General features: G+C 36.3%; 1 protein-coding gene across 8 annotated transcripts in view; it reads right to left on the bottom strand.

The window, feature by feature from the left end:
• Positions 1 to 468: 468 nt before the first annotated feature.
• Positions 469 to 24,028, bottom strand: part of SCFD1 (sec1 family domain containing 1) — a 113,597-nt gene continuing 90,037 nt past the window's right edge. For 5 of the 8 annotated variants that reach the window (NM_001283031.1, NM_001283033.1, NM_001283032.1 and 2 more), the window contains 6 exons: positions 20,342 to 20,395; positions 16,942 to 16,994; positions 14,402 to 14,435; positions 13,760 to 13,825; positions 1,461 to 1,529; positions 491 to 733 (listed from right to left, as the gene is read on the bottom strand). In NM_001283031.1, coding sequence (NP_001269960.1) covers positions 710 to 733; positions 1,461 to 1,529; positions 13,760 to 13,825; positions 14,402 to 14,435; positions 16,942 to 16,994; positions 20,342 to 20,395 — 300 coding nt within the window. In that variant the 3' untranslated portion in view covers positions 491 to 709. Of the gene's footprint in view, positions 734 to 1,460; positions 1,530 to 13,759; positions 13,826 to 14,401; positions 14,436 to 16,941; positions 16,995 to 20,341; positions 20,396 to 24,028 lie in introns of those variants that run through there. The other 3 variants (XM_005267469.3, NM_016106.4, XR_007063993.1) reach the window with 2 other exon arrangements.

Genomic DNA, 24,028 nt, shown 5'->3' with positions numbered 1-24,028 from the left:
TGGCCTTTATAATAGGAAGTGTTTATTTTTCTTCCCTTTCAAGCAATTGGCTTGCTTTTTATCTTACAGACGTACTGAACGGTATGACTGATCAATACTTCTTGTCAGTACTGCATACCAAAGAAGCTTGGAATCAAGTTTAACACTAACTTTTACGTATTATTTACAACTTTATGAGATGACTGTTTTGTATTTGTCCATTCCAAATCATGTTAGTGTTGCCTTGATCACCATTACATGAAGGAGGGACTTTATGTGATAAAATATACATAGGTGTGCCAGAAGAAGGGAACTTAAAGTGGCTTAAAATCTCCATCTAAAATCTATAGGCAACATGGATACCCAACAAACTATGAGAAAGTAGTTGTATAATTAAAATGCATACAAGTAGGGGACTCACGAACCAATCAAATAAAATTTAAATATGATAACCTTAAAATGTCACCAGCTTCAATCATAACCTATTAGTTATTATATTAGTACTTTCTGATTTATCAGAGAAAATGAACAATGTTGAAATTTTATTTCTGAAATGTTTCTTTTAATCAATACATATTAAGTATATAATTTCCTTAAAAATTAACAAATAACTCTGATTTTCACTGTTAGGACACTGTTACAGAGAAGGAAACATATTGCTCTTCTAACTTTTCTTCTTTTTACATTTATCCACATTCCAAGTAGATTATCATAGTAAGGTTCTTCTGTGTTACTTTTGTCCAAGTTGTGACAACTAAAACAAAACACAAAATCATACATAAAACTTTTAAAAAAGATCATAAAAGAAACATTCAAACATATTTGTAAACCCCTTAATAAATTACACTTCCTATTTTATTCACTGCATTCCTAGAATAATAAATCTTAATGTTCACCACTAACTCAAATGTTAAAACTGAAGGCTGGTCATGGTGGCTCATGCCTGTAATCCTAGCTATTTGGGAGGCTGAGGTGGGAGGATCACTTGAGGCCAGGAGTTTGAGACCAGCCTTGGCAACATAGCAAGAGACTGTCTCTACCAAGAAAAAGAAAAGAAAATGGAATTGCAATAAACGTCGTCATAGTAAAGAAATGTAAACATTATTAGGTAACGTTCAATTGATGGAAAAGAAAAACCCTGGGAATTAAAAAAATTAGTGCTAACTTTGTGACAATATAAAGAGAAATGTCATGAGTGACACACTACTGACAGTTCTCATATATTTTTGTATTTCTAAAGGATCATTAAAAGCCAAAGAAAAGGCTTTCAGTTCTGGAAGGATGGGCAAACTCCTACTGGAAACATTATTACTTATCAAGGTTTTCTTAGTCGTCCATGAAAACACCTTATCTTGGTATAGCTGGATGGCTTTGGTTTCGGCTGGTTCAGGTGAGTAAGTGGTTTTCTTTCTCTCTTTTGAAAAATACCAATAGCAACTAGGGGTATGTTAACAGAAACAAACAACAAATGTATACTTTACCTGTTTTATGAACTGTGTAGCATTAAAAAGCTCACTGCAGCCATATAAAATGTGTTTGCCTTGTTTCCCCTGTAAAAATCAGAGTCAGAACTTAGATACAAGTAACAAGAAATATATTCAATATTCCCAAGAAAAGAGATTAATATGCTAGTTTTTTTGTTATTCTTAACAGTCTTTCTTTGGGATACTGTTGGATTTTAGTATACACATCTACCTAAAATTGCATGAAATAAAGAGGAATAAAGTGGTGAAATGAGCATAGTATTTTTGTCCCCCAAAATATATACTATGGCATACTATTGGTGCCATTTCCTATTACACTAAAAATAGAAGGAATCTCACTGTCAAATTTCACAGGAGCAACAGTTACCTATAAAATCTTAGAACAACATTCTTCCAATGTAGGATGTGTACTACTTGAAGAATACATTCGAGTTTCTTTATGCTGAAAGTGGGCTATGGTGCAGGTGGCATGGATTGTGCTTTTAGTCTCACTTGAGCAACACAGTATTTATAAGTTAATACATCTCATTCCACATTGTCAACATCAGGAATAAAAGTCACAGTTACAATGTTGGAACCCAATCACAACAGCCAAAACTTCTCTATTAGCGATTTGCTAATTTCTTGTATGTATCGTGAACCTGAAGGTAAATTCATGAGATTTCTTTTGTAATATAAAAAAGTTTATTCTAGAACAAAGTAATTTGAGGATTCATCAAAGGACAGAGGAATGATGGCTTTGTAACACAACTCTGTGATGTATAAGCTGAGCAAATATTGTTGGCTGAATACATGTCCTAGATGGCCATCTCTGAGAATAAATAAAACAAAAGCCACAACTCATATTTTTTTCAAAATGAGATGGTATATGGGTCATATAATTGGGATTCTTGTGGCTAACAGGCATTAATTAAAGGTAGAGGTCACAGTATGCAAGGAGAAAGCAGGCACAGGGAAACATTAGAGGGGTCCAGAACTTCTAGGCATAGCTCCCAGGAGAACCTGATTCTTGTTCAAGGAGAGGTCTTTTATGCCTCTCTGGTCAGGTAGGCAAAATTGGGCTGCATGACCAGCATGACCAGGCTCAACTGCAGAAACCAAGGGAACATGACAGAAACCAGGTGAAAAATGTAAAATCAATCTTTACATTTTCTATTAAACAATGCTGGCAAGCCAGCCCAAGGTTGCCCCCTGGTTTATCGTAGTCTCTAGCCCAGGCCCAGAATTCATCACTAGTTAATACTTCATTCAGGTTTGGCTAAACATCAGCACCATGGATCCTGGTATTCTTGGAGATAAGCACAGGGGTACAGTAGCCCAGTTGAGATTAATCCTGACTTGTACAGTCCCCACCCTGGACCAAGCTTTCTTAACCAAATTACTCATCATCATTCTTTTCTAATCGTTTTTAGCCATCCAATGAAGTGTAGGTGTAATTTTAAAGAAACACTGTAGTTTACCAAACATTCCAGTGCAAACTTGTTCTTAATCATGTACAAGCTTGATGACCCCTTTACTTACTCTGTCAGTTAAAAATTGAACTTTATGGGCTGGGCGCAGTGGCTCATGCCTGTAATCTCAGCACTTTGGGAGGCCGAGGCAAGTGGATCACAAGGTCAGGAGTTCGAGACCAGCCTGGCCAGCATGGTGAAACCCCATCTCTACTAAAAATACAAAAATTAGCCAGGTGTGGTGGCGCATGCCTGTAATCCCAGCTACCCAGGAGGCTAAGGCAGGAGAACTGATTGATTGAACTCGGGAGGCAGAGGTTGCAGTGAGCCAAGACTGCGCCACTGCACTCCAGCCTGGGTGAGAGAATGAGACTCTGTCTCAAAAAAAAAAAAAGAAAAAAAAATCGAACTTTATAAAATGTACCAGTATATTGATTCAATGTAAAATTAACTCAGTGTAGTTCTTTCTCTAACCAATCACCTTCCATCAAGAGAATACCTTGTGGTTTTAAGTCAAGTTCCCAATTCATCAATATTAGTATTATCAAATGTTTTGATAAAATCAGTCAAATTATTTTTTACCAATTATACCAAAGTTATACCAAATAGCATTTACATTGTGAGTTAGATTAACAACATTACTAAATAAATCAGAATTACAGCAGTATTTTCTGGCACTTGCCCCTTATGTTGTGGACTAGTATAAACCAAGGGCCATGTTAGTTAATTCTGTATTGCCAGTCTCATGTAGGCATAGTCGCATGTTTAGTTTCATACTACGAGACTGTACTGACACAGGTTTCTAATGATGTGAGGAAGGCTGTCATAGACCTAGCTCAGTTCCTTCTTAATAGGGCTGAATGGTAGGGAAAAGATTAGGATTATTCAGGACAAAAAAACTAAAAGGGATTTAAAAATCCTCTCAGGACAATAAACTGGGGAGCTTAGTAGCTACTAAAAATTTAATGGATCTAAAGGGCATCTATGAATAATGTAATAAAATATATAATGGTCAAAGACTAGATGCTTTGCCCGTATGATGAGAAAGAAGACAAGGATGTCTGCTCTTGCCTCTTCTATTCAACAATGTACTGAAGGTTCTAGCCAGGGCAGTTGCAGAAGATAGAAAAGAAGCAAAACTATCTCTATTAATAGATAACATGATCTTGTATATAGAAACTTCTAAAAATCCATTAAAAACAATTGGAACTAATAAACTCAGCAAGGCTGTGAAACGTAAGATCAACATAAAAATCGGTTGGATTTTTATGCACTTGGAATGAGGAATCCAAAAATGAACTTAAGAAAATGCCTTTTGTCTTTGACAAAATTCAACAGCCCTTCATGCTAAAAACTCTCAATGAATTAGGTATTGATGGGACGTATCTCAAAATAATAAGAGCTATTTATGACAAGCCCACAGCCAATATCATACTGAATGGGCAAAAACTGGAAGCATTCCCTTTGAAAACTGGCACAAGACAGGGATGCCCTCTCTCACCTCTCCTATTCAACATAGTGTTGGAAGTTCTGGCCAGGGCAATCAGGCAGGAGAAAGAAATACAGGGTATTCAATTAGGAAAAGAGGAAGTCAAATTGTCCCTGTTTGCAGATGACATGATTGTATATCTAGAAAACCCCATTATCTCAGCCCAAAATCTCCTTAAGCAGATAAGCAACTTCAGCAAAGTCTCAGGATACAAAAATCAATGTGCAAAAATCACAAGCATTCCCAAACATCAATAATAGACAAACAGAGAGCCAAATCATGAGTGAACTCCCATTCACAATTGCTTCAAAGAGAATAAAATACCTAGGAATCCAACTTACAAGGGATGTGAAGGACCTCTTCAAGGAGAACTACAAACCACTGCTCAACGAAGTAAAAGAGGACACAAACAAATGGAAGAACATTCCATGCCCATGGATAGGAAGAATCAATTATCCTGAAAATGGCCATACTGCCCAAGGTAATTTATAGATTCAATGCCATCCCCATCAAGCTACCAATGACTTTCTTCACAGAATTGGAAAAAACTACTTTAAAGTTCATATGGAACCAAAAAAGAGCCTGCATTGCCAAGTCAATCCTAAGCAAAAAGAACAAAGCTGGAGGCATCACACTACCTGACTTCAAACTATACTACAAGGCTACAGTAACCAAAACAGCATGGTACTGGTACCAAAACAGAGATATAGACCAGTGGAACAGAACAGAGCCCTCAGATATAATACCACACATCTACAACCATCTGATCTTTGACAAACCTGACAAAAACAAGAAATGGGGAATGGGTTCCCTATTTAATAAATGGTGCTGGGAAAACTGGCTAGCCATATGTAGAAAGCTGAAACTGGATCCCTTCCTTACACCCTATACAAAAATTAATTCAAGATGGATTAAAGACTTAAATGTTAGACCTAAAACCATAAAAACCCTAGAAGAAAACCTAGGCAATACCATTCAGGACATAGACATGGGCAAGGACTTCATGTCTAAAACACCAAAAGCAATGGCAACAAAAGCCAAAATTGACAAATGGGATCTAACTAAACTAAGGAGCTTCTGCACAGCAAAAGAAACTACCATCAGAGTGAACAGGCAACCTAAAGAATGGGAGAAAATTTTTGCAATCTACTCATCTGACAAAGGGCTAATATCCAGAATCTACAAAGAACTCAACTTTACAAGAAAAAAGCAACCCCATCAAAAAGTGGGCGAAGGATATGAACAGATACTTCTAAAAAGAAGACATTTATGCAGCCAACAGACACATGAAAAAGTGCTCATCATCACTGGCCATCAGAGAAATGCAAATCAAAACCACAATGAGATACATCTCACACCAGTTAGAATGGCAATCATTAAAAAGTCAGGGAACAACAGGTGCTGGAGAGGATGTGGAGAAATAGGAACACTTTTACACTGTTGGTGGGACTGTAAACTAGTTCAACCATTGGGGAAGACAGTGTGGCGATTCCTCAAGGATGTAGAACTAGAAATACCATTTGACCCAGCCATCCCATTACTGGGTATATACCCAAAGGATTATAAATCATGCTGCTATAAAGACACATGCACAGGTATGTTTATTGCGGCACTATTCACAACAGCAAAGACTTGGAACCAACCCAAATGTCCATCAATGATAGACTGGATTAAGAAAATGTGGCACATATACACCATGGAATACTATGCAGCCATAAAAAAGGATGAGTTCATGTCATTTGTAGGGACATAGATGAAGCTGGAAACCATCATTCCCAGCAAACTATAGCAAGAACAAAAAACCAAACACTGCATGTTCTCACTCATAGGTGGGAAATGAACAATGAGAACACTTGGACACAGGAAGGGGAACATCACACACCGGGACCTGTAGTGGGGTAAGGGAAGCGGGGAGAGAAAGCATTAGGAGATATACCTAACGTAAACGATGAGTTAATGGGCGCAGCACACCAACATGGCACATTTATACACATGTAACAAACCTGCACGTTGTGCACACGCACCCTAGAACTTAAAAAAAAAAAATGCCTTTCGTAACAGCATAAAAATATACTCTGAAGACTACAAAATATTATTGAAAGAAATTAAAGATATAAAAGGAAAACATCCCCTATTCATGGACCAGAAGCCTTAATTAACATTAAGATGAAAATACTCCCCAAACTGATCCAGAGATTTAACACAGTCTTTGTAGACATTTGCAAATTCTAAAATTCATAAAAAATTGCAAAAGACCCAGAAAAGCCTAAACAATAAAGTAGGACTCACATGTGTCCTGATTTCAAAAACATACTAAGGAAGCCATGATGATCAACACAGTGTAATACTGGTGCAAGAAAAGACCTATAGATCCAAATAATGGAATTGAGAGTTCAGAAATAAACCCATACACATCAAGTGATTTTCAACAAGGTTGCCAAAAAACCATTACATGGGGGAAAGAATAGTCTTTTCAACAGATGGCAGTGGAACAACTGGATATGCAAAAAGATGAAACTGGATCTTCATACCATATTTTAAAATTATACAATTCTTAGAGGAAAACTCAGGGTCAAATCTTTATGACCTTAGATTTGGCAAAGGATTCTTAGATATGCCACGAAAAGCCCAGGCAACAAAAGAAAAAAAGAGATACACTGGACTTCGCCGAAATAAACTTTTGCACTTTAAAAGACACCATCACAAAAAGAGAAAAGACAACCCAGAGAATGGGGGAAAAAATCTGGAAATCATGTATCTGATACGGGATTTGTATCAATATTACATAAAGAATTCTTACAACTCAATCATAAAAAGGCAAAATAACCCAATTAAAAATGGACAAATGGACAAAGGGGCCAGGCGTGGTGGTTCAAGCCTGTAATCCCAACACTCTGGGAGGCCAAGGTGGATGATGGTGGTGTGCACCTGTAATCCCAGTTACTTGGGAGGCTGAGGCAGGAGAATCGCTTGAACCCTGGAGGCAGAGGCTGCAGTGAGCCAAAATTGCGCCACTGCACTCCAGCCTGGGTGACAGAACGAGACTCCGTCTCGGGGGGAAAAAAAAAAAAAAAAAAGGGACAAAGGATCTAAACAGACATTTCTCCAAAGATATACAAATGGCCAATACACATGTGAAAAGATTCTTGACTTCGTAAGTCATCAGGAAAATATAGATAACAAAGCAAGTGTTAGTAATGAAGTGGAGAAGTGAGAACCCTCATGCACTGCTGGGGGGAATGTAAAATGGTGCAGCTGCTTTGGAAAACAGTCTGTAGTTCTTCAAATGATTACAGTTACTAAGTGACGCAACAATTCCACTCTTAGGTATATACCTAAAAGAAGTGAAAACATACATTCACACAGAATTATGGTGGCCATTATCTATGGTTCCACGTGGACAGCAACAGGTCTTGTCTAGAATACACACTCATTTGGATGTGTATACCTGTTAGCTGCAGGAATCACCTTTAACATTATTAGAGGCCGCAGCAGAAACAATTTCAATTTAGACCTCCTACTTATATATCATTTGATAAAGAAACTCACTTTACTGCAGGTGCAGTTCAACAATGTGCTAACAACCATTATCTACCACAGACTAACTTATATACCTTACCAAACACAAAGTATTGGAGCAAATGTTTGAAACACTTTTCAAAGTGGTAATGAGAGACAGAGTTGCATGATGGAATGTGTGTCAAAACATAAAAGGCATGAAATTAAAGGGGGACTCAACACTAAACAGATTATAGAGATACTTCAGGAAAAATAAGGGAGGGGTGGAGTAATAACACAGGAACTGATAACAATTTCCTCCATATTTCTGAACATTTTTCTTTTTCTCTGACTGATCATGTAGAACATGGATATGGATTACATTTACAAGCTCAGGAAGACGGATCAGTTGCAAACATGACATGAAGATAATACCTCTAAATATAACTGTCTGAGGAATGATGGAATGGACTGTTTTTATTTTCACCTATCTAAGCTTGGAATTAATGTTTTTTTTTCATCTTTCCTCACATGTGGACAAGACAGTCCTATAAACTTGTAGTTATCCACCTCAACATCATGTGACTGGGAATGGACAAAGGGGAAAAGCACTGGCCAGTCTCACATTGCTGTCAGCTCCACAGGTAAGTCCTCTTGCCGAATGTGATGGTCTCCTAACTCAGGGATCAAGGTCTGGGTAAAAAACTAACAACAGGAGAAAGGAGGAAAAGTCTTTACTCTCAGAAAGGGAGCCAATAAATGAATAATGCAAAAAAGAAAGGTAACATTATTTTGGTATCTCGTAAGAGCCTGGGAGCAAGAGAATGCTCTTAGCTATATTTACAGATGCCCATAAGACCTGATGAAATTGTCTCCTTTATTTGAAGCTGTCTAAGATGGGTTGCAGGAGATTTAATAATTTAATCTGTAGAATTTTGTCTGAATCTTGATGATGCTAATAACAACATCTTGAGGATAAACACAGAATAATTCTAATGCTTGCCTTTTGGCTCCCATTGGTTTTATCTATTGTAGAGAACCACTTTTGGGAGGCAAAATTAGGACACGTTGTCTCTGAAATGCACACAAACGATTTTGTTGAACAACGAAGTCACAGACCACCACGTAACTATTAAACGCAGTTATGATTTGTTAAGAAAGGTGTCCAGAAACACAGACATAAAATAACTGCTGCATTTCCAACTACTCATAGTAACATGTGCTCTAATGCCTATGTACCTTGTTTCTGTGGGCGGAAGGCACTAAGGTTAAAAAAATTCTTAGTACTGAAACCAAGTAAAGGATAACTAGGTGGGCTTACACACTTATAGCCCTGATCTTTTGCTGAGAATAATTACTACTCATAAGACACTGTCTCGGGGAACTGAAAACTTTTGTCTTCCCTCGCCCGCCATCTCTCAAAAGGTTCCTGAAAGATTTTGGATCCAAAAGGTATATTCAAACTATATTCAAGCAATAAAAACTCAATGGCAACAACTTATTTAATGGTTAAACCAATTTGGGCAGAAACACTGGCACAGTTCTATGAGTCCTATGGTAAGCCCGATTTGCCTTTAATGAAAAGAGACATACTGAGCAAGACGACTTAATGACCTACTGGTTGTTGACAAGAAATGTTATTTCAGGAGGAAGGGAAATGGTGGCAAGCAGCCTGGAAAAATGATAAAACAAACTCAACAGTTACATAAAGATGGGAAGACACATGTACCCAGACTCAAGAAGGATTAAGTACGCTCCTCAATTAAAAGCCAAGGTAGTGCAAGGAAAATGGCCTGGTATCTTGGCAGAGCGAGCAAAAAGAATGAATTTATGGGAAACTTATGGTGCCTCAGTCAATTACAACATTTTGGTATATAAGCAAGAGCTGATTTTGTTGAGAAAGATGAGAAAACATTTAGTAAGCAATCTAAATCATAATGTAATTGCTACTTGGTGCAAATGGTATCATTGGTGAGGTTCATATGAACACATCCTATGACCAAATGAATGAGCAAATGTATAAGGAAACTGAATTAAAATCCCTACAAGATGGTCTTCTGGTAAAAGACTAGATTATCAGAGAAATAACTAGATTAATAATTGTTATAAAATTTCACAAAACTCAACTTTCTGTGGTAGAAAGAGGTAAAACTGTCAAGCTTGTACATGATTAAGAACAAGTTTTCACTGGATTATCTGGTAAACTGCAATTTTTTTAAAAGTTATAATCTACTTCAGTAACTACAAATGATTAGTATTTTGGTGTTTATCTTCTTGTTTTTCTGTTATATAATGTAAAAGATGCCAAAAGAAGAATGATGACAAGTGATTTAAAAAGCTTAACCAAGGGTAAGAGCGTGTGGAATGCGTAAGTGTCTATTGCAACCATGTGTTTATCCCCGGGAACACCTGGAACCAGTCATGTTGCTAACTGTTGGCCAAACCTGAATGAAATGTTCTAACTAGTGATGAATATAGTCCTGTGCTAGAGTCAAGACTAGGGGGCAACTTGTACTAGCTTGTCAGCACCGTTTATAGAGACGGTTTGCATCTGGTTTCTGTCATATTCCCTTGGTTTCTGCTTTTGAGCCTGGTCAAGCAACTTAATTTTTGCTATGAAACTAGAGGAGTACTAACCATTCCCACTTGAAAACTGGCACAAGACAAGGATGCCTTCTCTGACCACTGCTATTCAACATAGTATTGGAAGTTCTGGCCAGGGCAATCAGGCAAGAGAAAGAAAAAAGATATCCAAATAGGAAGACAGGAAGTCAAACTGTCTCTGTATGCAGATGACATGATCCTATATTTAGAAAAGCCCACACAGTCTCAGCCCAAAAGCTTCTTAAGCTGATAAACAACTTCAGCAAGGTCTCAGGATACAAAATCAATGTGCAAAAATCACTAGCATGCCTATACAACAGTAACAGTCAAGCAGAGAGCCAAATCAGGAAGAAGCTCCCATTCACAATTGCCACAAAAAGAATAAAATACCCAAGAAAACAGCTAACTAGGGAGGTGAAAGATCTCTACAAGCAGAACTACAAACCACTGCTCAAATAAATCAGAGATGACACAAACAAATGGAAAAACATTCCATGCTCATGGATAGGAAGAAGAAATAGCATTAAAATGGCCATACTGCCCAAAGCAATTGGTAGATTCAATGCTATTCCTATTAAATCACCACTGACATTCTTTACAGAACTAGAGAAAACTATTTTAAAATTCATATGGAATCAAAAAAGAGCCAAAATAGCCAGGGCAATCGTAAGGAAAAAGAACAAAGCTGGAGGCATCATGCTACCAGACTTCAAACTATAGTACAGGGCTATACAGTAGCCAAAACAGCATGCTACTGGTACAAAAACAGACCTACAGACCAATCAAACAGAACAGAGAACCAAGAAATAAGACTGCATACCTACAACCATCTGATCTTCGACAAACCTGACAAAAGCAATGGAGAAACGACTCCCTATTCAATAAATGGTGCTAGGATAACTGGCTAGCCATATGCAGAAAACTCAAACCGGACCTCTTCCTTACACCACATACAAAAATCAACTCAAGATGGATTAAAGACTCAAATGTTAAACCCAAAACTATAAAAACCCTGGAAGACAACCTAGGCAATATCATTCTGGACATAGGAATGGGCAAAGATTTCATGACAAAGATACCAAAAGTAACTACAACAAAAGCAAAAATTGACAAATGGGATCAAACTAAAGAGCTTCTACATAGCAAAAGAAATTATCAACAGAAAACCTATAGGATGGTAGAAAGTTTGTGCAAACTATGCATCCAGCAAAGGTCTAATATCCCGCATCTATAAGGAACTTTACAAGAAAAAACTACCCCAGCCCAGATACGGTGGCTCACACCTGTAATCTCAGCACTTTAGGAGGCTGAGGTGGGCAGATCACTTGAGGTCAGGAGTTCAAGACCAATCTGGCCAACGTGGTGTAACTCCGTGTCTACTAAAAATACAAAAATTAGCTGGTTGTGGAAGGGTGCGCCTGTAATCTCAGCTACTTGAGAGGCTGAGGCAGGAGAATCGCTTGAATCTGGGAGGCAGACGTCGCTGTGAGCCGAGATGGCACCACTGCACTCCAACCTGGGCGATGGAGTAAGACTGTCTCAAAAAAAAAAAAAAAAAAAAAAAAAAACCCATAAAAAAGTGGGCAAAGGACATGAACATTTTCAAAAGAAGACATACATGTGGCCAAAAATCTTATGAAAAAAAGCTCAACATCACTGATCATTAGAGAAATGCAAATCGAAACCACAATGAGATACCATCTTACACCAGTCAGCCTTTTTTTTTTTTTTTTTTTTTTTTAAGATACTGGTGAGGTTTTGGAGAAAAGGGAACACTTATACACATCCCTTTTTGGAACACGATGGGAGTATAAATTAGTTCAGCCATTGTGGAAGACAGTGTGGTGATTCCTCAAAGACCTAGACAGAAATACCATTCAACCCTGCAATCCCATTACTGGGTATATACCCCAAATAATATAAATCATTCTATTATAAAGATGCATGCACAGGTATGTTCACTTGCAGCACTGTTCACGATAGCAAAGACATGGAATCAACCTAAATGTCCACTGATGTTAGACTAGACAAAGAAAATGTGGTACATATATACCATGGAATACCATGCAGGCATAAAAAAGAATAAGATCATGTTCTTTGCAGGGACATAGATGGAGCTGCAGGCCATTATCATTAGCAAACTAACTCAGGAACAGAAAACCAAATACTTCATGTTCTCATTTATAAGCGGGAGCTAAATGATGAGAACACATGGACACATCAGAGGGGAACAACACAGACTGGGGCCTGGTGGAGGGTGGGAAGAGGGAGAGGATCAGGAAAAATAACAAATGGGTACTAGGCTTAATACCTGAGTGATGAAATAATCTGTACAACAAACCCCATGACACGAGTTTACCTATGTAGCAAAACTGCACTTGTACCCCTGAACTTAAAAGTTAAAAAAATAAAAATAAAAAACCTTTGTACAAGACCAGGGCTCTTCTGAAACTAAGGTATCTTACATATATCTTGGTGGTTCACGATGCAAAGATGAAGCGTGTCCTATGAAACAGATAGACTCCCAAGAGTAGTTATTTGTTTTGGAGCTCTGTGGCATCTGCCTGTGTGTTTTTGTCTTCATTGTACCATAACCCTCTACCATTATTAGGGCCATACATGACATAAGGACATAAAGAATGATCTTTATTTAATGTTAAGTGAATAAGTGAAGATTACAAAATGACATCCTAAAAATAGCTAATTCTGTTGCCCCTGAATTTTAAATAGTGTTTTTCCTCTTCAAAGTATGCCCCTTCCTTCCTTCCTTTTTGCTTAGCTGTCTGCTACTCCCTGCACTCCCTTTCATTTGCTACCTCTATAGCTCCTGTTTGCTGAAAAAACAAAACAAAAAAATCCAAGTTTGTTAGAAGTATGTCACTGATTTAAGCTAATAGGATAGGAGTAAAGTGCATATTATTCAGATAAATGAGTTTTGTAAATCATTTCACCACAAGAGTTTTTTTTTTTTGGGAAGAGGTCTCTAAGCATTTGAGGTTATATTAAGACAGGTAGCTGCAAAGTGCATTATATCAATAAGATACATTGTTTTCTAGATTAAGTACAATTTTAGGCCAGAAATGAATGTGACAGGAATAGGAAAACAATAAACATTTAAAAATCATATATGCATGATTTTAAAACTACCTTTTAGAAAAGAAGTTATAGAAGGATCAGGATAGCCATCAGAGTATGCTAGTGTTCTACCTATGAAACCATCTAACAACAGAATAAAAAGGCTAAATAAAATGTACCTTTATGTAGTCAACAAGATTCTGATATTCAATGTAGTTGCCTCCTCCCACCACAAAAACAATGGCCTAAAATGCAAACAGATTAAAAAAAAAAAAACACAGTTTTTAGTCTGAAACCTCTTCTAAAATTAAGGTTAAAAAATGCTAGCCAAAAGTCATATTCTAAGCCCCTGATGCTATTTTAATTATTAAGAAATGTTTCTAAAAAGTCAATTTATAAATTTCTAATGTCTCTTGAGTAGTATGAAGAAGAGATTTTTCAGAAACAATTTAGAGGAAAATAACTATAATTTCCAATATATGTTATTTACTGTATTTTTTACGGAGAAGCTTCTTTGTATTTCAAATGAAAACAGTCATAGTATCTTCACAAATGTTTGGAATCCAATTTCAGAAAAAGGTTCCACACATGTAAAACTCTCACTGCAATTTGAAATACTTCATTTCCTGTGAATTGTCCGTTATTTTTAAGCTTAAAATATTATAAATATAAGCAGCTTTATAAATTAGAAAAATATAATTGCTAGGCCAAATTATCATACACTAATCATCATAAAGCCATGTTTGGTACAGACAGTCTTCAAGATTGGTCACCTTTCATCTTCCCTTTCTAGGAACAGAGAATTTTTATATGAAACTTACCTCTTGGAATGGATTTTTATTTCTGGGAACTGAGCTGTAATAAAGAAAAACCGTAATGAAAATTTCACCCATGGCTTTTATTATGAATAAAATAGGTATGGGAAATACACACACATGCACTATTAGGTAAGTATTTACAATTCTACCTCCTTCACCTTCTTAGAGGGGTGGGTCCTTTAATTTTGCTGAGCCAGGTAGTGAACTGGGTTTCATTAAGAAGCAGCTAGAAAAGGGAGATATCTCAGAGTCTAAAAGGAAATGGGTCAACCCTATTACTTTAAAATAAAATTCTAGATGACTGAGCAGCAACTCCCACGAGGAGGAGCGTAAGTCTGGGTTTGTGGTGAATGGATAAGGCATATATTTTATGTGGTAAATTTTTACCAAACTCAATATTATATATAGTTTGTGGGTATCTACATTTGTGGAAAAACTATATAAATACATGTATGGGAAGAATAACAACTCAGGAAGCAAATGGGGAAGGGAGGGAGGGAGGGATCTGAATTTTGCTGTAGCTTATTTATTAAAGATCTCTTAGACACCAAAGTATTATAAAGACATTTTTCAAAGCTTTTGCGAGTCTAGACTTACATATTTGAGTGCTAAAACAGGCTGTAGAGTATGACTTAAAAGGACAACTTAGATTTTCCCCTAAGTAATTTTTGAAAATATCAACTGAGAAAAGAGGGCTATCATAACTTTCCTTAATTGTTCAGAGGCTGATGACACAGTTCTATCATCTTTTCCTCATTTCTATGGCCTGTCTGAATATTCCACAGAAGAAGCTACAAGTCCACCTGACTGAAATGCCTCTTCAGTGTTCCAGTTCCTTAAACAGTAGACATGGATGAGGAGAGGTAAGACTTATAGAATAGTATTACTAGTTATTAGTCACCAAGATTTAACTGTGATGGGATAGCTCAGGAGAAGGCTCTGTTAAAAATGAAACTCTAAGCTTATCTGTCTTATCAATGCTAATATTCTTCCTCATTACCATGCATAAACTACATTAAGGATTAAATATTTCTCAGTAAATTTCCAAGAAGCCAAGTATAGTCTCCCTTGATATCCATGAAGGACTGGTTCCAGGAACCTCCATAGACACCAAAGTCCACAGATGCTCAAGTACCTTATGTAAAATGGTGTAGTGTTTGCATATAACCTACTCACATCTTCCTATATACTTTAAATAATCTCTAGATTACTTATGATACCTAATATAATGTAAATGCTATATAAACAGTATTACGAACTATATAGTTTACACTGTATTAGGTATTGCTTAGAGAATAAACACAAGAAAAAAATAGTGTGTACATGCTCTGTATAGATTCAACCATCCGTTTTTCCCCCCAAATATTTTCGAACCCTGATTGGTTGAACCCATGGATGAGGAACCCACGCATATTGAGGGCTAACTGTATATCTACTTGTTAGCTAAATGCAAGGAAGGAAAAAATGTAAGCTGGAGAATCATTAATATAGAAAAAAGTTGCTAATCCATTGTTGTAAAGTGTACAATCAGTGGTTTTTAGTATATTTACAGAGTTGTACAACCATCACTGTCTAATTTCAGAACATTTTTATCACCCCTAGAAGAAGTCCTGTACCCATTAGCAGTCAATCCTCATCCCCCTTTCCACAATCCATTCTTTGTCAAATTCTCTCTTGCCAACAGCAGCTGCTATTGGCAGTTCTTATGCAATTTTGGTGATATTTCTGGTAAATTCAGAAAAGGGAATAACGTTTCAAGTTATCAAACAATTTAATCTAATGACTAGATTATTTTCACACCATCTACAAAGATACGAAAGCTTGGGATACAGCAAATGTAAAGTTCTGAAGATCCCAAACATAAGGAACAGGCAACAAACTAGCTTCACTAGCTTCATCTGAGTTTCAGTGCTACAGACAAATCAGTCCAAGGCAGTTATTCCCGCCCCCCACCCCCCTGCCCCCAATTCTGCCTATTCTTTTTCTGTATCTTGTAGGCTATTTGTCATACCACCGCTAATTAAATCATGAAAAATAATATCCATAAGGATATCTTACCATCCAATGTCTGTGATAAAATGCAGAATTTATTTATAGAATGTTTCATTGACACAAGGTGTTACATAGCAATGGTTCCCAGTGACTTTAATTTTATGGACCAGTTAAATAAAAAACAACCAAACAACTGGTATCCAATATAAAGCTCCTATTTTTTTCAATTGGTCCAATAAGAATATTCATTTAAAAACACGTTATCGAAATTTCCCTCACCCACAATTAGTTTCTAATACCTCCACCATTTCATAAAAACACCAGTAAACGTCTAAATGGATTTGTGTGTGTGTATATGTGGAAGGAAAAACATCTGAATGCCAAGTATCATTACTAGAGATATCTCTGGATAATGAGATTATACATCCTTGTTTCCTTACGAGTTTTCCATATAGTTTGGATTTTTAATAAGCAGTACTATATAATAAAAAAATTATTTCCATTCTCGAGGGGAAAAAATCCACAAGTTAAACAAGACAAAAGCTGCTTACCTGTCATTGCCCCGCAGCATTTTGGGATCAAAATATCTATAGTCATCAGTTTCCTATTAAAAAAAATAGAACTTTACCATGACTGTGGAATTTCTCTTCAGAAGGTCAGTTTGGCTTAGAGTATCCTATTTTAATGAATCTATCAATTTTGTAGAATGTATAACAACCATCCCTAATACTTAATGAGCACTTACTATGTGCTAACCTTTATTCTAAGTGCTTTAGATGAAATTACTCAATCCTAATAATGGTCTATCAGGTTGTTACTGTTACCCTCATTTTTCAGATTGACAGTCTGGGGTAGAGAAAAGTTATGTAACTTTTCTAAAGTCACATGATTAGTAAGTATGGGAACTACAGGATTTGAACCCAGGCAGTCTATTTTCAATGCCCAAGTTCTTAATTACCATGCCAGAGAAACTAATTCTCTTCTGGAGTGTTGACAGGACTATCAAAACCTGATTCTTGACAAATATGCTACACATGTTGCTACTATTTAGTCCTGTACCCAATGGGGTGGACACTGCTAATCAATCATAGCACTCTCAGTAAACCCAAACATAGTGTAAGGATCCTTCAACACTTTGCTCCAAGAAACCACTACCAGCCAGACTTACAAGGCAAGATAACCTATCTGATATCCTGCCTTAGTTTTAATTTATTCAATTAAGAAATGAAAGGAAAACATTTAATAAATGAACTGATAAAAATGCATCTAGAATTAGATTACAGCATTTCAAATGGATACAATCAAGATTATTTATCAGGTCTAACTTAGTATACTTTGCTAATCTCTTTAGCATTTTGCTAATCTCTTCATTGCCTCCAAATCAATTTGTCCATCTGGGAACAGGAGAAGGATGATAATGCAGGCAGCTGCCTCACCTAGCAGATGAAGAAACACTTTCAAAACAGAAAGTTACTTTTTCCTAGTTAAGTAAAAAAATATCCGTCTGCAATAATATGCCTTGAGTTATAAAGTGAAAGTCAAGGGAACTGATCAATGAACTTTCACAGCTTGGAAAACATTTCAGTAAGATCCACAAGGTAGCCATCCATGTGTTTATGACAGAGAAATGTGGAAGGAATGTGTATGCTGGAATGAGCACCAAGCAGGAATATAGCAGTAGTAGGTTTCTGGTTCCAATTCTGCTACTAAAAGTAGTGTGACGTGGGAAGTCACAACATTTCTTGGTTGCCTCTCTTCCACTGTTAAGATGACTTATGTTTCTTTAACTCTCTAGTTCTGGGATTCCATGAAGGGAATGATTCTTGCCCTAATCAATACAGCATAATGGTAGAAAACTTGGCCTTTAGTTAAAATCTTCAGTTTGACATTTATTAGCTGTGTGTCCTTGGGTAAGTTACATTGCACTACAGTGTCCTCACCTATAAAATGAAAATAATAATACTAGTACTTTTCTCAGAAAGTTCTAATGAGGATTAAGTGAGATAATAGGTGAAAAATGCTTTTTTTTTTTTTTTCTTTTTTTTGAGGCAGAGTCTTGCTCTGTCACCCAGGCTGGAGTGCAGTGGCATGATCTCGGCTTACTGCAAACTCTACCTCCCAGGTTCAAGCAATTCTCCTGCCTCAGCCTCCAGAGTAGCTTGGATTACAGGTGCGTGCCACCATGCCCCACTAATTTTTTGTAGAGACGGGGTTTCACCATGTTGGCCAGGCTGGTTTTGAACTCCTGACCTCAAGTGATCCACCTGCTTCGGCCTCCCAAAGTGCTAGGATTACAGGCTTGAACCACCGCAAAATGCTTTGAATGATTTCTGGAACATGATAAGTACTCAATAAATGTTAGCTATTATCATTATTACTGTCATTATTTTTCATCTCAACTTCAAGATTAGGGACAGTAACAAATATCACAGAATTTTTTCTTTCTTTTTTTGAGACAGGGTCTCACTCTGTCACCCAGGATGGAGTGCAGTGGCACAATCTTGGCTCAATGTAGCCTCAACCTCCTGAGCTCAAGTGATCCTCCCACCTCAGCCTCCTGAATAGCTGGGACTACAGGTGTGTATCACCACACCAGGCTAATTTTTTGTATTTTTTGTAGAGACAGGGTTTCACCACATGGCCTAGGCTGGTCTCAAACTCCTGAACTCAAGTGATCTGTCAGCCTTGGCCACCTAAAGTGCTGGGATTACAGGCATAAGCAAACATGCCTGGAAAATATCAAAATTTCTTAACCCCCTGTGTATTTGGCACCTGTCTAAAGTTTTGCATTTACTTATATTTTTAATCTTTATAGTTGCTTGGCATAGTATCTTCTGGAAGTTTATTGCCTATTAGGAAGCAGTATTCTGTAAGTCAATTAGTCATGAATGTATACCTCTCTTAGGCTTTTCAGGAAGAACCTTTTCTTCATGTATTCTAGGATGTAGTGACAAAGTCTATTATTACTTCATTGTATACCACTTTATCTGTATTGATTCCCAGATGGAAGAATCCAATCCTTTTTAGTTTATCATTATAAATGATTCTCCCATTCCTAATATTAACTGCCCTTTTGAGATGTTTTATTACACTGTATCTTTGTTTTCACACCAGTGAATTTTAAAATTTGTTAGTTTCTTGTTATTACAGTCATGTTCTGACAATTACAAAAAAGGTGACACTCATCTGAAGACACTGTTCTCACTCTTTCTTAGAATTGGAATCCTAAGCCTCACTGCCAAATCTATAGGGTTTTAGATAAACTCAAACCAGGGTTTTGATGTCGGTAGGCTCATGCTGCCTGTTTTTGATTCCAGATTCTTGTGGTAATAACCACCTTTTGGTTGCGACAGTGACAGGATGGGATGTTTTATGAAACAGATTGTGATGATTTTTACATTCCTTTCTTGAATTACAAACAGATAGCTTAGAAACCCATTCTTTAAGTCAATGCTAACGGTATTGACCCATTTGTCTATTCACCCAATGATTTCATTGTCAATTTACTTCTTCAGCCCAAAAGAATTTAGTGCCCTGTAAACATATGTACTTAACATTTTTACTATGCACTTCTTTCCTAATTTAACTTTTATAAAATTAAATTGGTTTGGTACTCTTTATACTATATCAACAGATGCTCACTGGTTCTTTTTTCATTTATAGAAATTTGTTCCTTAGGATATATTTTACATTTAATTATACATATAGGATATAATCTACATGACATTTGAATGAGAGCTGGCCAGAATGGGTATGGCAGCTGAGAAAACCAATTCCCAGAATCCGTGATAATGGCTAAAAAAGGCTTCTTGAGAACATGGACTCTTCCTTTTCCTCATGTATTCTGCTGTGATTAAGCTCACAAGGAACTCAATCTGATTTTATCCTCTTTCATACTAGTCAGTTTGACACATTCGGGAATTTACACAAAATATGTTATATGGTACTCACGGGGTTTGACTTCATCTCCATAAGATTGTCCAAAATACGAGTAACAGGTAGATTCTGTGGAAAAGTATTTTGTTAAATATTAGAATATTAAACCAAAGTTCTTCTCTATTAAAACAACCTGATCATTCTACAGTTAAGTATGCTTACCTTTCAATTAAACACATTCTAAGATTAAGTAGTCTGTGAATGGTAAAGGTGATGTCAAAGATGTAAATACTCTTGGCACTACTCAAGTTTCCACAGGAAAATATAATTCTAAGTAAAATGCTTCTTTAAATGTATAGGTGTATTCAGGTTTTAGTACAAATACATGTTTGGGCTTTTTACTTTGTTGGGTGTTTGCTTTTAATACTAGTAACTGCAAGCTTTTGTTTTGATCAAACAAGAATCCCGTTTTTTTTTTTTTTTTGACATGGAGACTCGCTGTCGCCCAGGCTGGAGTGCAGTGGCGCAATCTCAGCTCACTGCAGCCTCTGCCTCCTGGGTTCAAGTGATCCTCCTGCCTCAGCCTCCCAAGTAGCTGGGAATACAGGCTCTTGCCACCACGCCCGGCTAATTTTTATATTTTTAGTAGAGACAGGGTTTCGCCATGTTGGCCAGGCTGGTCTCAAACTCCTGACCTTAGGTGATCAGCTTCCCAAACTGCTGGGATTACAGGCGTGAGCCACCATGCCTGGCCAGAATCCCACTGTATTTTTTTCATTTCCTCTCTGTGGATTATAAAAGTTCTCTTTAAAAATAAAGTAACTTTTAAAGTTCGTGAAAACGTATGAGATTAAATGATGTAAGAGTTCGTTCATTTCTAATAAAAAGGTATTTTTTGTACTTAGGAAAATGGGTATATGGATACACAAACAACTTTATTGACCATTTTTATTTTGCCTGGGATAAGTTCCAAGTTTTCAATGTTGCACTGCATCATCTTACAGAACAGATTCCACTTTGAACACGAAATGTACAACACAGGTGCTGGCAAAAGGTTGTCTCCTGACTTGTTTATAGGCTGTGGCATAAGAAGTACTGTTACATTTCAGTCTGACAAGTTTTATTATTTTGAACATAAGTCAAATTTAGAAAATTTAGAAAATTATGGCTATTCAAAGTGCATTCCTAATGAAGTGTTATTCTGTTCATTTTCAACTGGTATTTCCTTTGTGAATTGTACAGGATGTTCTGAAGAGAACAGTCTTGTATCTATTGTACTTTATGTATTTCAGAGACTTCATACAACAAAAACATTCAATCTGATTGTTTATAGATCAGATAAAAATCTATAAATAACACATTACTATTATATAAGGATTTTCCATTTTGATAACACATTACTATTATATAAGGATTTTCCATTTTCTTAGATCATAAAACATTTTATTGTTATTAAAATGGACTGTCACTAAGGATACTGCTGCCTTCCCTAGACTGGTAAAGTGAAAACCTTTTAAGATTGTCTCAGGCAAGTAAAATTAAAATTAAAGCTATTTCATTTGTGTTGGCTAGGTACTTTCAAATATAAATACAAGCATCAAATGTTCAAGCTGTCTGAATATACTTCTGAATACTATTCAGAATTTTTTTTTTTAAAGGTGGCTCAAAATTTTACCTTTTTTTTTTTTTTTTGAGACGGAGTCTCGCTCTGTCGCCCAGGCCGGACTGCGGACTGCAGTGGCGCAATCTCGGCTCACTGCAAGCTCCGCTTCCCGGGTTCACGCCGTTCTCCTGCCTCAGCCTCCCGAGTAGCTGGGACTACAGGCGCCCGCCACTGCGCCCGGCTAATTTTTTTTTTTTTGTATTTTTAGTAGAGACGGGGTTTCACCTTGTTAGCCAGGATGGTCTCGATCTCCTGACCTCATGATCCACCTGCCTCGGCCTCCCAAAGTGCTGGGATTACAGGCGTGAGCCACCGCGCCCGGCCAAAATTTTACCTTTTAAGTTTTGTTTCAAATAAAATTGAGTCTGTTCACTTAAGAGTGAGTCTAAACCAGTTTCTCTAAAGAGTAACTGGGTGCAGATTTAAATGTGCTTTAAATAAAGATTTTAAAATGCTTTATCCAAAAGAGAAAACTATAGTTAGGAATTCCAAGTAATACCAACAAAAGATAATGAAGTACTTTGCAACATAACAAGAATAAATAATTAAAAAATTCTGGAACAAAAGAACATTGTAAATTGTTTTGTAAAATTTTACGAAAATTGAGAGCTTTATATCAATTTCTCTATTTACACTGAATTCTGTGTTTATCTTCCTGCATTGTACTCTTAGATCTATACAATGGAGGAAAATTTAGAAAAGGTTATATATAATGATAAACCATAAGGGTCATATTATTTTTATTATATTTGTGAAAATAATTGGAAGTCTGAATATTCATACCAATATTCCATGATAAATCTTTATTTAGTCTAAAATGAGATTTTCCTAAGGATACAATTAAATTTTACTTTGTGTTTTATAGTTCTGCTATATCTGAAGACAAGTCTGCCAAATAGGTCATTAAGTAACATGAGAAAAATTTCTTTCCAGCAAAATTGTTCAAAAATTAAAGAGCCCAGAGACAACTCTTTCGTATGTTTTTGTCTGGTTTTTCAGAGACAACTCTTTCGTATGTTTTTGTCTGGTTTTTACAACCAAATAACACACCAAAACCATCTACACATCTACCACTCCCATACAATACAATATTCACATACTCCCATACATTAATGGAAGCTTCAAGTACAGAGAATGATTTTAAAAAATACATAATGTCTTTAAAACGTAGGAAAGAGTACTTCAGGAAACAACTTTTGAGATCTGTCACCAGCTAATGCTCTAGCTAGCCTTCATTCTTTGCCTAGATAAAGGCCTGAATTGACTTAATCATTAAAAAAAATCAATTATATATTTAGAATAATTTACATACCAGGTTAATCAAGTTTTACTGGTTAAAAAAACCGGATTTTAGCAGCTAACATATTAGCACATGGAAAACATCAGAACAAAACCATACAATATTCTTTGCTCAACAAATAGTGTTACTTATGTGTCTTTAGAAACATAAAAAGTCTGTGTGCTTCAGTAAAAGGGGTATAAATAAAATTTTATCAAATGAAAAACTCCATTGTTGTAAGAATTCTCAAGCATATTTTTTGTTCTTAGAAATTGTTGTTTAGAAATAAAATGGAAAACATTATTGTATAGTTAGCAACTAAATTTTTATTAGAAAGCCATTATAGATATAGATTTGAGAGACAGAGTCCTATACACAGGAATATCCTAAATTAAAGTTCTTCAAATTTCAAATACATGAACTAGGAACTTTATCTGAAAAAAATATAGTGAGAAATCTATTTCCAAAAATCCTAACTCATTTTATGACTTTAGTCGTGTTTTATGATTTTAGTCACCGGAAAAGCTTAGGTAAAAACAATGGTAACTTTATTTCTGATGGTGTATTACAAAACAAAATAAAATATGCACAAAAACTTAAAAAAAAGACAACTAAGAAATATAATATAGTTCTATAACCAAAATAGGGAAGTGTTTTTTTTCCTTTGAGTTCTCTTAGAATTAGCCACTTGTTGCCTATATTGACAACTGATCTATGGTGACTATTTGTAACTTTTCCCTTGCAGCCCTGGGCTTCAGATGATACTCTGATGTCGAAGCTGGCAGTGGGATTGGGACAAGAATTGCTACTGTCTTGATTA

This window comes from Homo sapiens, chromosome 14 (genome assembly GCF_000001405.40).
Source record: "Homo sapiens chromosome 14, GRCh38.p14 Primary Assembly".
Classification (NCBI taxonomy): domain Eukaryota; kingdom Metazoa; phylum Chordata; class Mammalia; order Primates; family Hominidae; genus Homo; species Homo sapiens.
Note: the sequence above shows the minus strand (reverse complement) of the source record. Positions and strands in the feature narration are given on the sequence as shown.